We start from the raw sequence: 13,689 nt of genomic DNA on the forward strand, positions 1-13,689 counted from the left end.
TTATTTACTTATTTATTTATGAGACAGGGTCCCACTCTGTTGCCCCAGTTGGAGTCAGTGGCACAAGGCAGTGTGCAGTGCTCAGTGCAGCCTCTAACTCCTGGCTCAAGTGATCCTCCTACCCCAGAGTCCTGAGGGGCTGGGACTACAAGCACATGCCACTAAGCTCAGCTAATTTTTTTTCTTTTTTAATTTTTTGTAGAGATAGGGTCTGACTACATTGCCCAGGCTGGTCTCAAACTCCTAGCCTCAAATGATCTTCCTGCCTCAGCCTCTCAAAGTGCTGGGATTACATGCGTGAGCCACTGCATGCTGCCATATTATTTTTATTCTTAAGCTAAAGTCACTCACTTAGCCTCGTGCATGGGGACCCTTCTCTTTTTAACTCTAAAGCCCATTTGTTTACCTGGATACCACACAGATGCCCTTTGTGGTGCAACATTTAGCCCATTGAAGGCTAATTATGTGAGTCTCACAATTGTGTGAGTCTGTCATGAAGTATAGCCTAGACTTGACAATGATTGATTTCTCCAAAGAACCCCTTCAGCAGGGAGATCCCAAATCAGAGAGCCCTTGCCCTTACCCAGGACAGCCAATGTCTCTGCAGCTCCACACGGAGCACCAGCTACCGTGGAGGGGTTGACCTGGGCCTGGAGTCCAGGACAGGCTGAGGAATGCCCTTCCCCCAGCCCTCTCCCTGAGTGTCAGTCCCTGAGTTAGACACTGTCACAGGAGAGGGCTTGGAAGCCACCTTCTGACTCACCACACCCATCCCAGCCATGCCCCCTCACCCTGGCAAGCACCCAGGGGCTGTATGTTGATTTGTCTCTCCCCTAATACAAGGCCCTGACCTCCACCAGCAGAGCCAGACTGTCTGCCTGCAAGCCTGGCTTTTTATTCTGCTGCACTACAGAAATTATGCAAATCACAGCTATTAGTATAACAGCTTTTGCAGAATTCAGAAGAAAAAGGCAAAAAAAAAAAAAAAAACCACACAATCACAAAATCCCTATGTTTGGTTAAAAGACCATGAATTTCCCCATTGTCCTCACTCACTCTCTTGTCAATATGAGATGTATACATCTGAAGCCTGCTTTTCAGTCTTATGAACATCTATAAAAGAGACATCAGTCAGCAGAAACCTCTGGTACTGCGACATGAAAGAGAATGAGGGAAAAACCCAACTCTAGCCAGGATGGAGAAGAGAGGAAAGGCAAGATGTGGGAGGCAGCCCCAGAAGGCCCAGGCGGGGTCTCTAGAGGAACCTAAGAAGACTCTGGTGTGGGACAAAGCTCCAATGTGCTCTGAGCACTCTCGCTGTCCTTCCAGAGGGCCTCGTTCCCCTTCTCATTCATCTCACTCACCACACTGGAAGGCTCCTGAAGGCAGAAGCTGCACACCTGTGCCCCGTCCCTTCCACAGTCCTGAGCAATGAGCAGTCACAGAGCTGGGGCCGGGGGAGGGCATGGAGAAATTGAGCTCCTTTGCTCACCAACATTTCAGGGAGACCGCAGTGGTCTTGGTGGATGTGAATGGACTGAGTTGCTTCTATCACTCAAAATCCCCGAATGAACAGGTGGCGCATGGACATCAGAGGATTCAATAACCTGACAATTTGCAAAGATTTCGGTGGAACAGTGACACCAGAGGGAGGAGGGAGCACATGATTCCAGGCGCTCAGAAGGAGGAAGCTGCCTCAAGAGGAGGGACTCAGGCAGCCCGAGGTGGCCCTGCAGGGAGGACGCAGGAGGAATGAAGGCCCTGTCTCCCTCGTCTCTCCTTCTGCCCTCCTCCCAAGGGCCCCCCCGGGAGCTGAGGGAGCAGAAGCAAGAAAGCCATCTGGGTCATCCCTCCAGGTCACCTCCCGAGGCACAGAGCAAGGCAGAAAACTTCTGGGCCAGGCTCTGGCAGGACCACTTGCATTTACTCTGTAAGATGAAGACAATGGTCCTGGGAGAGCATAGCTGACCACCTGGCACCCTGGGCCACATCGCCTTCCAGCTCTCCTCTCATCTGAGGTCCATGCCAGCTCCTGCCCCTGGCTCTGGTGCTGTCCCACCTCGGGGTCATTCCACTTTCTGCTATGGGGCCCTGTCTGATTTCATGAGACACCTCTAGGTCTGCACTAAGACAGCCCAGAGTTATGGGCTTATCAACGCTGGGGATAGGCAGTAGCAGATGGTGGATAAACCACCCTGCCTTCCATCTTTCAGGTGGAGAATTCTGGAAGACATCCTGTCCATGTCTTGGTGGGTCCTGGTGGACTTGAACCCCTGCTGTCCATGGCAGCAACTTAATTCATCTGCCTTCCCTGTCTCACTGTCCTTATACCCTCACTCTCATTTCCTGCAGTCACCCTCAAATAAGCAACCTGCACCCAAGGCATTTTCTGGGGCTCTCCTTTTTGAGGAACTCAACTAAGTCAAGTGAAAGAGCCAGTAAATGGCAATGAGACAGTTGATCACCGAGATAAAAAACTATAATGTCAGATTGCTACCTCTTGCCATACATACAAACCATTTCTTGATAGATTAAAAAGTTCAGTGTAAAAACCCAAAGCCTAAAATGTTTAGGAGCATATATTTATGAGCTTGGAGTAGGGAAGGATGTTTTAAACAAGACATAAAAACTGCTAACCACTAAAAAATTGATCGTGATTAAGACCTCATAATTAAGAGCTTCTGTTTATCAAATGATACCATAAAGAAACTGAAAAGCAAGCTATGAACTAGAGAAGGTATTTGCAACACTCCAATAAGGGATGATTATTTAATATATCCTAATAAAAATCAATAAGGAGAAACATTTTTAAATTGTAGGTCACAGAAGAGGATAAATATATTAAAAAACTCAAAATTAGTTATCAGAAAAATGCAAATTAAGACCCAAAGTAACCATCAAGAAAGGCAATAAAATGTGGCAGTTGAGAGCAAAGTCATTATGTCTGGTGGAGTTGAGCCCTGGCTTAATCCCATGGGTGCCAGCTATGTGATCTTGCTGGCATCGCTTCCCCACTCTGTGGACAATAGCTTTCCATGCATTAAACAGGAATAACAGTAGTTCCTGCCTCCTTAGGTTGCTGTGTTACATGGAAGAAGACATGCAAAGCTCTTAGCATGGGTACTTCACAAACAGTAAACATGCAAACTATATTTAAAAACCATCTCCAGGTGACTCAGAGATTACATAATGGGTGCTTAATAGGAGCACAACAGTACAGGTTTTTATTTTGTGTGATCCAAAGTACTGCACTTAAATAACATGTGGGTGACCTCCACAGGAAGGAATGGGTTCTGCCAGCGGTGGGTCTATGTACCGTACTGCAGCCTCAAACACAGACGAATGCGTTAGCTGCATGTGAGCCCTCATGATAAAAGAGATCTGAAAATAAATTGTGTATTTAATTCAGAGCGACTCCAGAGCTGCTGTTCTGGGATTGCAGCAGAAATCCTGGAGAAAGCCTAAGATTTGGGATTTTAGATCTTTATGCATCACTTACATCCACACAGAAAGGGCGTTCCAGGGACTGCGCACCCATAGAGCAGTGCAAGCTGGTCCACCCTGCGGAAGCCAAGACCTCCCTGAGCAGGCAGCCACGCTGAAGGGGAACAGCAGCTCCCCGATGGCCTCCAAAGGACTCAACACGGAAAGTGAAGATATATCTATGGCCTGAGACAATTCTGGCAACGATATTCATATAGACATTACGTTCCTGAACAGCAAGGGAATCCTGTGAAAGGAGGGAACAGTGAACTAGAGACCCAGATTCCAGCCCTCTCTACTCTGAGGAGTCTCTATGACACCTTTAAATCAGGGAGAATCATTTCTAGACTTCCTGGGGTTGGATCGAGGATCCCCAGAAGCAACCAACTTGTATTCAGCATACACCAGATGCCAGACACGGTGTGAAATTATTTGTATACATTTTCTGGTTCAATCCAAAGAACTGCTCTATGAACAAAGCTACCAGGACCTGCAGAGGATTAGGTTTAGGAAGTGGTGAAGCTGGTATTTGATCAAGCCTAGGTGAAGTCGTGTTTGAGAAACAGCTCTGTGAGCTGAGTACAACCAGAGGATTGTTTCCAAAGTTAGGCCCAAGTGGGCTTCCAAGAGCAGGCATCACCACTAAAACAAAACAGTGACACTCAAGGCATTGGAGGCAGACCCCAAGCAAACCTGCACGTGTTGGAAAAGGCCCGAGGCCAGGAGGAGGAGGTGTTCTCTGCAGCTGCTCAGCCTGTTCATTCTGCACCAGGAGCAGCGCAAGCTGCTAGGATACCCTAATGGGGCAAGCAGGGCACTTACTCCAGGCTCTGCAGCAGGAATGCCCACCATGGGGAATGCCCACTATGCATAGCCATCTGGGGTCTCATCCTTCAAGCCACAAGCCTGCTCCACCTGGGCCCTCAACCCCACTCTTAAGGTCGGAGCAAGTATTCACGCTTACCCCCCTTGGAAATGAGGGAGAAAATCGCCCATGGTGTGTAGGGGTTTGTGTGTCTGTGCATGCGTGTGTCTGTGCATGCATGTATGTGTGTGCATGGGTGTGTTTCTGCATGTGTGTGTGTGTGTGTGTGTGGCTTTAGTTGATAATGGCAGTCCAGGTCTGCAAGTCTCTAAGGTGCAGGCCCACATCTCTCTAGAGAGGACAGTCAGAACCACATTAATCGTTGCGTCGCAGGTACTCCATGCCTCGCGCTGTTCTCAGCACCTCACATAAACTAATTCACGTACTTCTCCCAATAACCCTATGAAGCAGGTGTTATTTTTATCCTGCTGTGGCTTATGGAAAAATGAAGGTGCAGAGAGATTTTGTATTTATCCAAGATTACACAACTAACAAGTGGCAGCGTGAGATCTAAGCACGAAGAGCCAGGCTCCAGAGTGCTTTACCTGAGATGGAGACACTCTGAACTTCTGCCACCTACTCTCATATGCCTGGGTGATGGAGGATACACAGGAGGCTGATTTTAATTGTACTTCCTGTGAATGCACAATTCACCAAAATTGTAAGAATTCCATCCAATGTGAAAAGCACACATTTGCAACTCACTGGGGTGTGAAATGTCATGAAAATAAAATAGTGATGCTGCCCTCGGGAGGTTCAGGACAGAGGCGCAGTCAGGGTTGCATGAGGGCTCCAGGAACCCTCCTGAGGACTGAAGGCACCCCTGGCTCCCATGCCCCAGACCTCGAAAGCCCAGTGTTCTGGCTCCTGACAAGGCACCGGGGCTCTGGGGACAGGTTCTCTACTTAGGAACAGGCTGAAGGCTGGCTCCACTCATGCCACTGCCAGGTACACACTCTGCTTGGTGCCAGGAAGATCTCATAACAGGAAGCCCTCCTGGAGGGGAAGGAGGAGACGCTACAGTCCAAAGACAGTGTGGAGAGAACAGGGGGCATGGCAGAGAGGGGCGAGGAGAGGCGCAGAAGGGCTGGAGCCTCGGCCCTGAGAAGAGCTTGGGAACTGCCCTTGTTCCTGCGTGCGTTCAGTTGGCCAACTCGCTACTGAATACCACTGTGTTCTGAGGCCTGGGGAGAAAGTGGATTTAAAAAGGCAAGCTTCCTGCTTGCATGAAGCTAACATTCTAGAAAAGAAGACAGGCCATAGGTAGACCGTCCCGCTGGCCTGTCCACCGTCCTCATCTACTCCTCTCTCTGAAGGTCAAATAGGGCCACTCTGAGTGCAGCACAAGGGGAGGGGAAGAGACAGGCACCCCCAGATCACCAAAGACGAGTTAAAATGAGAGAAATGGGCACACTGGAAGTCCAGTCCCCACCGTATGCAATATTCCCATGGAGCAAGCAAGCATCTAAAATATAACAGTATTTTTTAAATAGAGAAAGAGGCAAGAATAGCACCAGGAACACATTCTGCAGAGAAGTGAGCCCTGGTATGTGCTATGTTGTTCAAAGAAACATTGCAGCCTTACCTGACATTCTTAGGTATTCCCTGGCTTCTAGGAAAACCTGTTACTGGTGAGCAGACATCAGGGCACAGATTGGGCCTGGTGTCACAGTCACTGTGGCCAGGGCTTCTGGCTACAGTGGTTAAGTGAGCCCAGGAATCTGTTCTGGCCCCATCTAAATGATGTTATTTTAATGCTAGATTTCCTTGAGGTAATAAAACAAAAACAGGGAAACTGAGGGAAAGGATAATAGACATAAATCACTAACCTAGGAGTCCAAACCCCCATTTAAAAGTAACTCAGAAGGTTAAAATAAAAAGGCAGATGTAGGGGCGGTGTTGAAATCCACAAAATCAAAAACTTTGCTGTGCCAAAGACAGACTCAAATCCACTGATTGCCAGGGTCTCTGGAGCCCCAGCTAAAATGAATGAGGAAAGGCCACTACTTCCACCAGGGAGGGCAAATATGCGCCCCTTCTAGGGCCAGTTCTCCCAGAGAGCTGCTGGGAACCTTGGACTCATCTTCCCTGTGAGAAAAGAGGCTGCAGTCAGCTCAGTGCCCACCAGGAGGACCGCAGAGAGGACAGTGACCACCGCTACGGGTGTCATTCTAGACCTAGTCGATGTTTTGGAATCTCAGAGAAAATGAAAATGCCCATAGACATCTACACAGGAAAAGAAATAAGAAGAAAATGAGATTTTCTTATTTTTTAAAAATAAGAAGTTTAAAAGAAATAGAAATCTTTCTGACCTCAGACTCCTCTGCAGTGTCAAGTGTCAGGAAGCAGTGGAGTCCTGTCCCCGGAAAACTGGGAGGAAGAAGTGTAGCAAGCTGCCTGTCATGTCTGAGAGGAACAGAAAGGGCAGTTGGAGAAGTGGAGAAAGTTAGGTGAGACCAGCCTGTGGAAATCATGAGAAATGACAGAGATTAAATCAGAAACTCACACATTTGGAAAGAAGAACATTAACATGATTTAGTAAGTTGGAGAGTTGACCCTTTGAAGAACCCAATAAAATACAAAACTTTAACAAATCTAATTAAGAAAAAATAGAAATAAAGAAAATTGGAACTAAGGAAAGAGACGTAACATATGCTGATAAAAGTAATTATAATTATGAGATAATATAATGCACAGTTATATGCTAATAAATTCCATCAACATGTAAAAATGGAACACTTAGTGAAAATAATAAATTAGGAAAAATAGCTCAAGAGGAAGTAGCACCCTAGAACGGAGCCATAGCCATGGAAGAGATGGGAAAGTGTTGTTAGCACACTGCCTTGGAAAATATTTGGAGGTGATGAGACTTTATTAGTGCATGTTGTCTGGACTTCATGGAATATATAAAATGCATACTATAAAATTTATAGCAGAATATAGAAGAAAATGAAAGGCAAATCCATTTACTTTATGAAGAAATTCTATTAACCAAATTTGGCAAAAGTAGCATGAAAAATAGACTCGCCAGCACTTCCCAAAATACAGTGGCAGGGAGGCTTTTCTTAACAATAATGGCAAAGGAAGAAATCATTAGGAACAAGATGGATACATGTAATTAAGTTTAAATGGAAAACCTCGTATCAGAAAACACTGTAGTAAAATTCCAAGGGAAATGGCAAACCGAAAACCATTTGTAAGAAATACAAGAAAGGATTAGTTATTAACAAATTAAAAAAATCCTCTCACAATTACAAAAACACTATATAACCACAATAGACAAGTACATTGAGACAATTATACAAGCAACATAAATGAGCAATAAGCATGGAAAACAAAGGCTCAAGCTCACTAGAAAGGCAAAGAATTACAAGTTAAAATCAGGGTGTCATGTTTTAGCCTATTAAATTGGCAATGATATAAGGGTTCTCTGCCATGGGCAACACCGTGCACTGATAATGGAAATATAAATTGATGAGACATTTTTGGAAAAGGATGTGACAACATTTTGCAAGAGTTTTAAATGGGTTCAGACGCCCTTTGACCTGGTAATTCCACTGCTGGGAATCTATTCTAAAGAAATGGTCAAAGATAAACAGAAAATGCATGTTCTTCCCTAGCACAGCTGTGAGTTCCCCTAACTCAGAGGCCTTCCTATCCTCCCATGGACTCCTCCTCTATCCGATCTCTAAACACTTGGGACCCAGGACGTAGTACCTGGGACTACTTTTGGCCACACTCTTCCTGAGGGATCTATTACTGTCCCATAGTTTGAAAAAGTCATCTGCACCTTGATGACTTCTAGATATCCATATCCAGTCCCAACTTCTCTGAGTTCTAGACTTGTCTATCCAGCAGTCTAGTAGACCCAAATTCTCTGAGTTTTAGACTTGTCTATCCAGCAGTCTAGTAGACCCAACTTCTCTGAGTTTTAGACTTGTCTATCCAGCAGTCTAGTAGACATCACTACTTGAATATTTAATAAGCACCCCAACGCAACAGGTTCCAAATTAAACTGCTGGTCCCCTCCCAAGCCTTCCTCTCCTTTCTTATCTATTTCAGTAAATGGCACCACTGTTTACACAATTGCTTAGACCAAAGACCTACAGGTTATAACTGAGTTATCTCTTGCTCTGCCACTTTACCTCCAACCCACCAGTGAATCCACATCATGCTCCCTTCAACATCAATTCTGAATGCAGCCACCCCTCACCAACTCTTCTGTGACTGTTCACATCCGTGACATGCACCTGAAACAGTGCTCTAAGCTCCTACCTGGCCTCCCTGCTTCCAATCCAGCCGGCCCTCCCCAGTCATGAGATTCTCCATCTGCAGTCAGAGTAAGCTGCTTAAAAACCTGTGACTCTCAAGCTTCCTTCACACTTAGAATAAACTCTGAATTATTTACTTTGGCCCTCAAGACCTTGATTGTGTGGTCACTGCTCACTTTCCTAGACTCTTGCTGTCTCTGCTCTCTCTGGCTCTCTCTAAACCAACCACACTGCCCCACCACTGTCCTCCAGTGGCCAAGTTCATTCTTGCCTCAGGCATCTGCACTTGCCTGCAACAATCCACACCTAGATTTAACCAGATTTCGCCTGCTCTGGAAGGACGTTCCTGGCCCCTGGGTGAAAATGACTTCTTCCTTTTGCTCCTATTTCCATCACCCTCTAGTCCCTAAATCCATCTCACTTTTCCTCATAACGCTGATCACAGCCTGAAATGATGTTTGCTGCATTTCCTTTCCGTTTTCTGTCTGGAATCCCCTGGGGATGGGATCTCATCAAACCCCATCATCCTCACTGCTGTCTCCAGCACCTGACACGGAAGAGACAGCAAATACTCGCTGAATGAGATTAACAGTGGTGAAAACTGAAAACTGCCTGCATGTTCAAAAATAGTGCCATATTTTTTAGAAATATAGTGGAATCTCCATAAACCCATTAAAATCGTGTTTTCAAAAAAAAGTTTTAAAAGGAAAATTTTCATTGTTAAACAAGGTAATGTGATAAAAAGTAAGATGCAGAATCATATATTTTGGTGATCCCAATTTTGTAAAATTATTTATCTAGCTAGGTATTTAAATATAAAGAAATACACTAAAACATTAATAATGTTTGGATTTGTATAATAGAATAACAGGAGACTTTTTATTTTATTATTTATACTTTTGAATTTTGCAAATTTTATTAAAAGAAACTGACATTGATGGACATTTTTTCTATTTTTTTTTATTCATTTATTTTTGACAATCATTGTGTGTATTTAGTGGGTATAATGTGATGTTTTGATCTATGTATACATTGTAGAAAAATTCAATCAAGCTAATTAACATATCCATCACCAAGTTATCATATTTTTGTGTTGAAAGTGTAAAAAGATCTATTTTTAGTAATTTTGAAGTATATAATACATTCTTATTAACTGTGGTCTCCACACATCAAAATACATCAGTAAAACTTCCTCTTGCAGTAAACTTTGCACTGTCTCATCAGTGTCTCCCATCACCCCGCCCCTCACCTGCCCCACCTCTGGTCACCACTGTTTTGCCCTCTATTTCTATGCAGTCAACTTTCTCAGATTCCACATATGAGTGAAGCCATGCAGGATTTGCCTCCTGTGCCTGGCTTATTTCATAGCATAATGTCCCCCCTTTCCAGCCACTTTTATAGAAAAAAAACTTCATACTCTGAAGTGAGAGAGAAAAATGACTCCTGCCTGGCTAACAGCCAGGAGGGAGGAAGGTGAAGGAGGCGGGTGAGCCAGTTCTAGGGCTGGTCCAGAAGGTGGCCACTCTTGACCAAGAGATAGACGGGAGTGAGGCAGCGGGCCTCACTGGAGGAGCCCGCGCCATTCTCAGGAGCCATCACGGGGACAGGAGATGCACACACTTCTCTGGTCCTTGACAAATGAACAAGTGAACGCCTCAATGGTAAGTCCACGTAGCCCATAAGAGAGGATACTCCAGGATGCCAGTGTGGCAGAAACAGCAAACACAGCCTCTGCGCTCCGCCCCCGTGCAGGTTTTTTTGACCACAGGCTCCTCACAGCCAGCCTGTGAGCAAATGCTGCCTCATGTACTGTGCACAGAGAGGCCACAGATGACTGTGGCCTCTGCTGATTACTTTGGAATTAAAAACACCATGAGCCCAGGCCTGGAAACACAGAGGCCTTTTGTGCCAGTTAAGCACCTTCAGGGGGAAGGAGAGGAAGAGGAGGAGGAAGAAGATGGGGAGGAAGGGAGGAAGGGAAGGAGGAGGTGAAGGAAGGAAAGGAGAGGGAGGAGAAGGAGGAAGGCAGGTGAGGAGGAGGGAAGGAGGGGCAAGAAGAAGGGAAAGGGGGAGAGAGAGGGGTAGAGAAAGGGACGACGGAGGAGATGGGAGGAGGATGGATTTGGAGATGGGGACAAGACCCCTGCATCCTGGCCCTCTGGACACTGTATCCTAAAAGCTGGAGCTGTTTATTATCTGAGTGATATTATTTGGGGGGCATTAAGGAAAAATGAGCAGAAGAAATTGTGCTCTTGAGAGATGAGGACAGACAGAAACTTCAGACCCATTCACTAAAGGCTGAGGATACATGGGAGGGCCAGGCCCTGGATGTGTCTCAAGAATCGGGGCTGTGCTCTGAGATGACCAGCTGGACAGCCAGAGGCCCTGGCTTCCCCTGTGTCATCTACTGTTGGACCAGCTTATTCTAGAGCAATGTGGAAAGGAAGGATGATGGAGGCAGAAAAAAAGAAGAAAGAGGAGAGAAAGGAAAAATGGACAGAGAAGGGGAGGTAGAGAAAGAGAGAGGCAGAAAGACTGAAAGATTTCAAAGGCAAACTACAGCTGTGCATGGTGGTGCATACCTGTAGTCACAGCTATTCGGGGGGTGGGGGGTGGTGAGGCAGGAAGACCACTTGAACCCCGGAGGTGGAGGCTGTGGTGGGTTGTGATCGCACCACTGCATTCCAGCCCAGGCAACAGAGTGAGACCCTGTCTCCAACAACAACCACCAACAACAAATTGTTTAAAGTAAACCTCCTCAGTATGGCTTAAAAGGAAGTAAAGAGAATGGATCAAGCCATGCAGGGTCCTCACCTGGTTATCAGAGAGAAATGGACAGCAAGAGGGGCTTCTCCGAAGTGTAGCTCCCAACTCTGCACACTCAGGCCTTTCACAAGCATGGATCCATGTGACCCCAACAGTCCTACAGGGTGTATGGAACATTCCAGCCCCTTTGTCAGGTGAGAACTGAGGCTTTGGAGAGGACAGAGGAGTCAAAGAGCTTCAGCGGGTAGAGCCAGCCTCTGGTCCTGCACAAGCCCACAGGTGTGTGGAAGGAGATGGAGGTAAAGCACCTGCCGGGACAGGAAGGGCCTCTATGGATTAGGGATGTTTCCAAAGCTGGTCAGAGAGCTAGGACCAGAGTGGGAGGGCTGCAGCTGAAAGGTAGTGTATAATAGGCTTTGGGTATTTGTGTTCGTGGTTGGGCGGGTAATGTTTTCCATTTCCAGATGCACTGCAGCCTCTGCCCACACATCAACACAGAAACCCCGCCATTTGGAAGGTGTTCTGTGCAGACACCTAAACGTCATTATCCCAAAACACCAAGCCAGCCAGCCAAGGCTTCAGAAAGTACCTGAACAGCTGAGCTTGCTGTTTTGATGAAACGCTGTTTGACAGAAAAACAGGCCACCCCTGGTAATATGTAGAGAATGATAGGATTCATGAATATGCATGAAGTCCTCTTTCTAGAGACAATTGCCGCAGCGGTTATTGGAGCAGAACAGGCCGGGTGGGAAGACAGCTTATTCCCAAAGCCACTCTGCCTCCCTGCTGGGAGTATATGGAACTTAAGATCATTTCCTGGGGCCCCATGGTGTGGTCTCAGCACTACCTAGGCCCACAGAGGCCCTCTGAGGGCCACCTGATGAGGGCCACCTCACCCTAGCCCACCACACATTGGTCAGAGCAGAAAATAGAGCTGAAAGGGAAGAATGGGTTTGCCCAAGGTCACACAGCAGCTCCTGACGGTCAGGACCTCTGCCACCAGGTCAAGTGGCCCCCACATTGCAGGCCCCTGGGAGGACACAGATGCAGACCAGAATCTGAGCAGAGGACAGCTCTCAGGACAGCTCAGCTGGCATGCCCACCCTGCAGGGGAAAGACTGCCCATGCCCACACTGAGGCAGGGGAACCACGGTGAGGAGCTGAGTGAAGACCCCCCACAGAGCTAGGCCCAGGACTCCCAGGGGGAGAGTGTGGATGGGTATCTGCCTCCACCCCGAGCTGTCTGCAATTTCTTTCCATGCAAAGGATAAGGTCTGACCAACACAGTCACAACAAGGCATGAGTGATTCTCAGGTTAACTCTACTTTTGAAGAAGAAGAAGAGCCCACAAAGAACTTAAAACAGAACTACCATTCAGCCCACCTATCCCATGACTGGGTATCTACCCAAAGGAAAATCAATTGTTCCACCAAAGGGACATCTGCACCCGTATGTTGATCACAACACTATTCACAATAGCAAAGGCATGGAATCAACCCAGGTGTCTGTCAACAGTGGACTGGAGAAAGAAAATGTGGCACATATACACTGTGGAATACTATGCAGCTGTAAAAAATGACCAAATCAGGTTCCTTGCAGCAACATGGATGTAGCTGGAGACCATTATCCTAAGCGAATTAATGCAGAAACAGAAAACCTGTTTTCACTTATAAGTGGAAGCCAAACCTTGGTTCCACATGCACATAAAGATGGCAACAATAGCCGGGGGAACCACTAGAAGCGGGAGGGTGGGAGAGGTGTGTGGGTTGAAAAACAGCCCATTGAGTACCATGTTCACTGCCTGGGTGATGGGGTCATTTGAGCCCAAACCTCATTGTCACTCAATATACCCAGGTCACAAACCTGCACACGCAGCTGCCAAGTATAAAATAAAAGTGGAAATTCTAAAAAGAAAAAGGAGAAGAGGAAGAGGAAACTAGAAAGGCAAAGGGAAGAGACAGCAATAGTGGATGATGCTCAAGTATTCCATAGATTACCCCAGCCACACCCCTAGTCCACTGGCAGCAACATGGTCCAAAGCCCGAGGTGGCCGTGGCAAGAGCCACACCCCTGGTCTGAGTCCCCATGCAGCCTCCACACTTCAGTAGCAGGAGCAAAGCTGGAAGTCAGACATTTTCCAAAGAAAGCCAGGCATGCTTGGACAGTGGGATCTGGCCACTGTCAGCATCCAGCGCCTGGTGCTCTGAAGTCTGAGGAGAGTACAGGGCAGGACAAACCCGCTGTCGGGTGCATCTCACACTGAAGAGGCAGGGGACAGCAGTTCCCTTTGATGGAGCTACGCAG

At 46.8% G+C, this 13,689-nt stretch overlaps 1 annotated feature.

Annotated features, from left to right (window-relative positions):
* Positions 11,865-12,366: an enhancer, noted in NCBI's record as "H3K4me1 hESC enhancer chr19:29474323-29474824 (GRCh37/hg19 assembly coordinates)". NCBI's record gives its function as "activates a minimal SCP1, AML or CMV promoter by ChIP-STARR-seq in naive H9 embryonic stem cells {active_cell/tissue: H9 hESC(naive)}" and the evidence as "EXISTENCE:reporter gene assay evidence [ECO:0000049][PMID:30033119]".

The sequence above is a fragment of the Homo sapiens genome, chromosome 19 (assembly GCF_000001405.40).
Source record: "Homo sapiens chromosome 19, GRCh38.p14 Primary Assembly".
NCBI classification, from domain to species: Eukaryota; Metazoa; Chordata; class Mammalia; order Primates; family Hominidae; genus Homo; species Homo sapiens.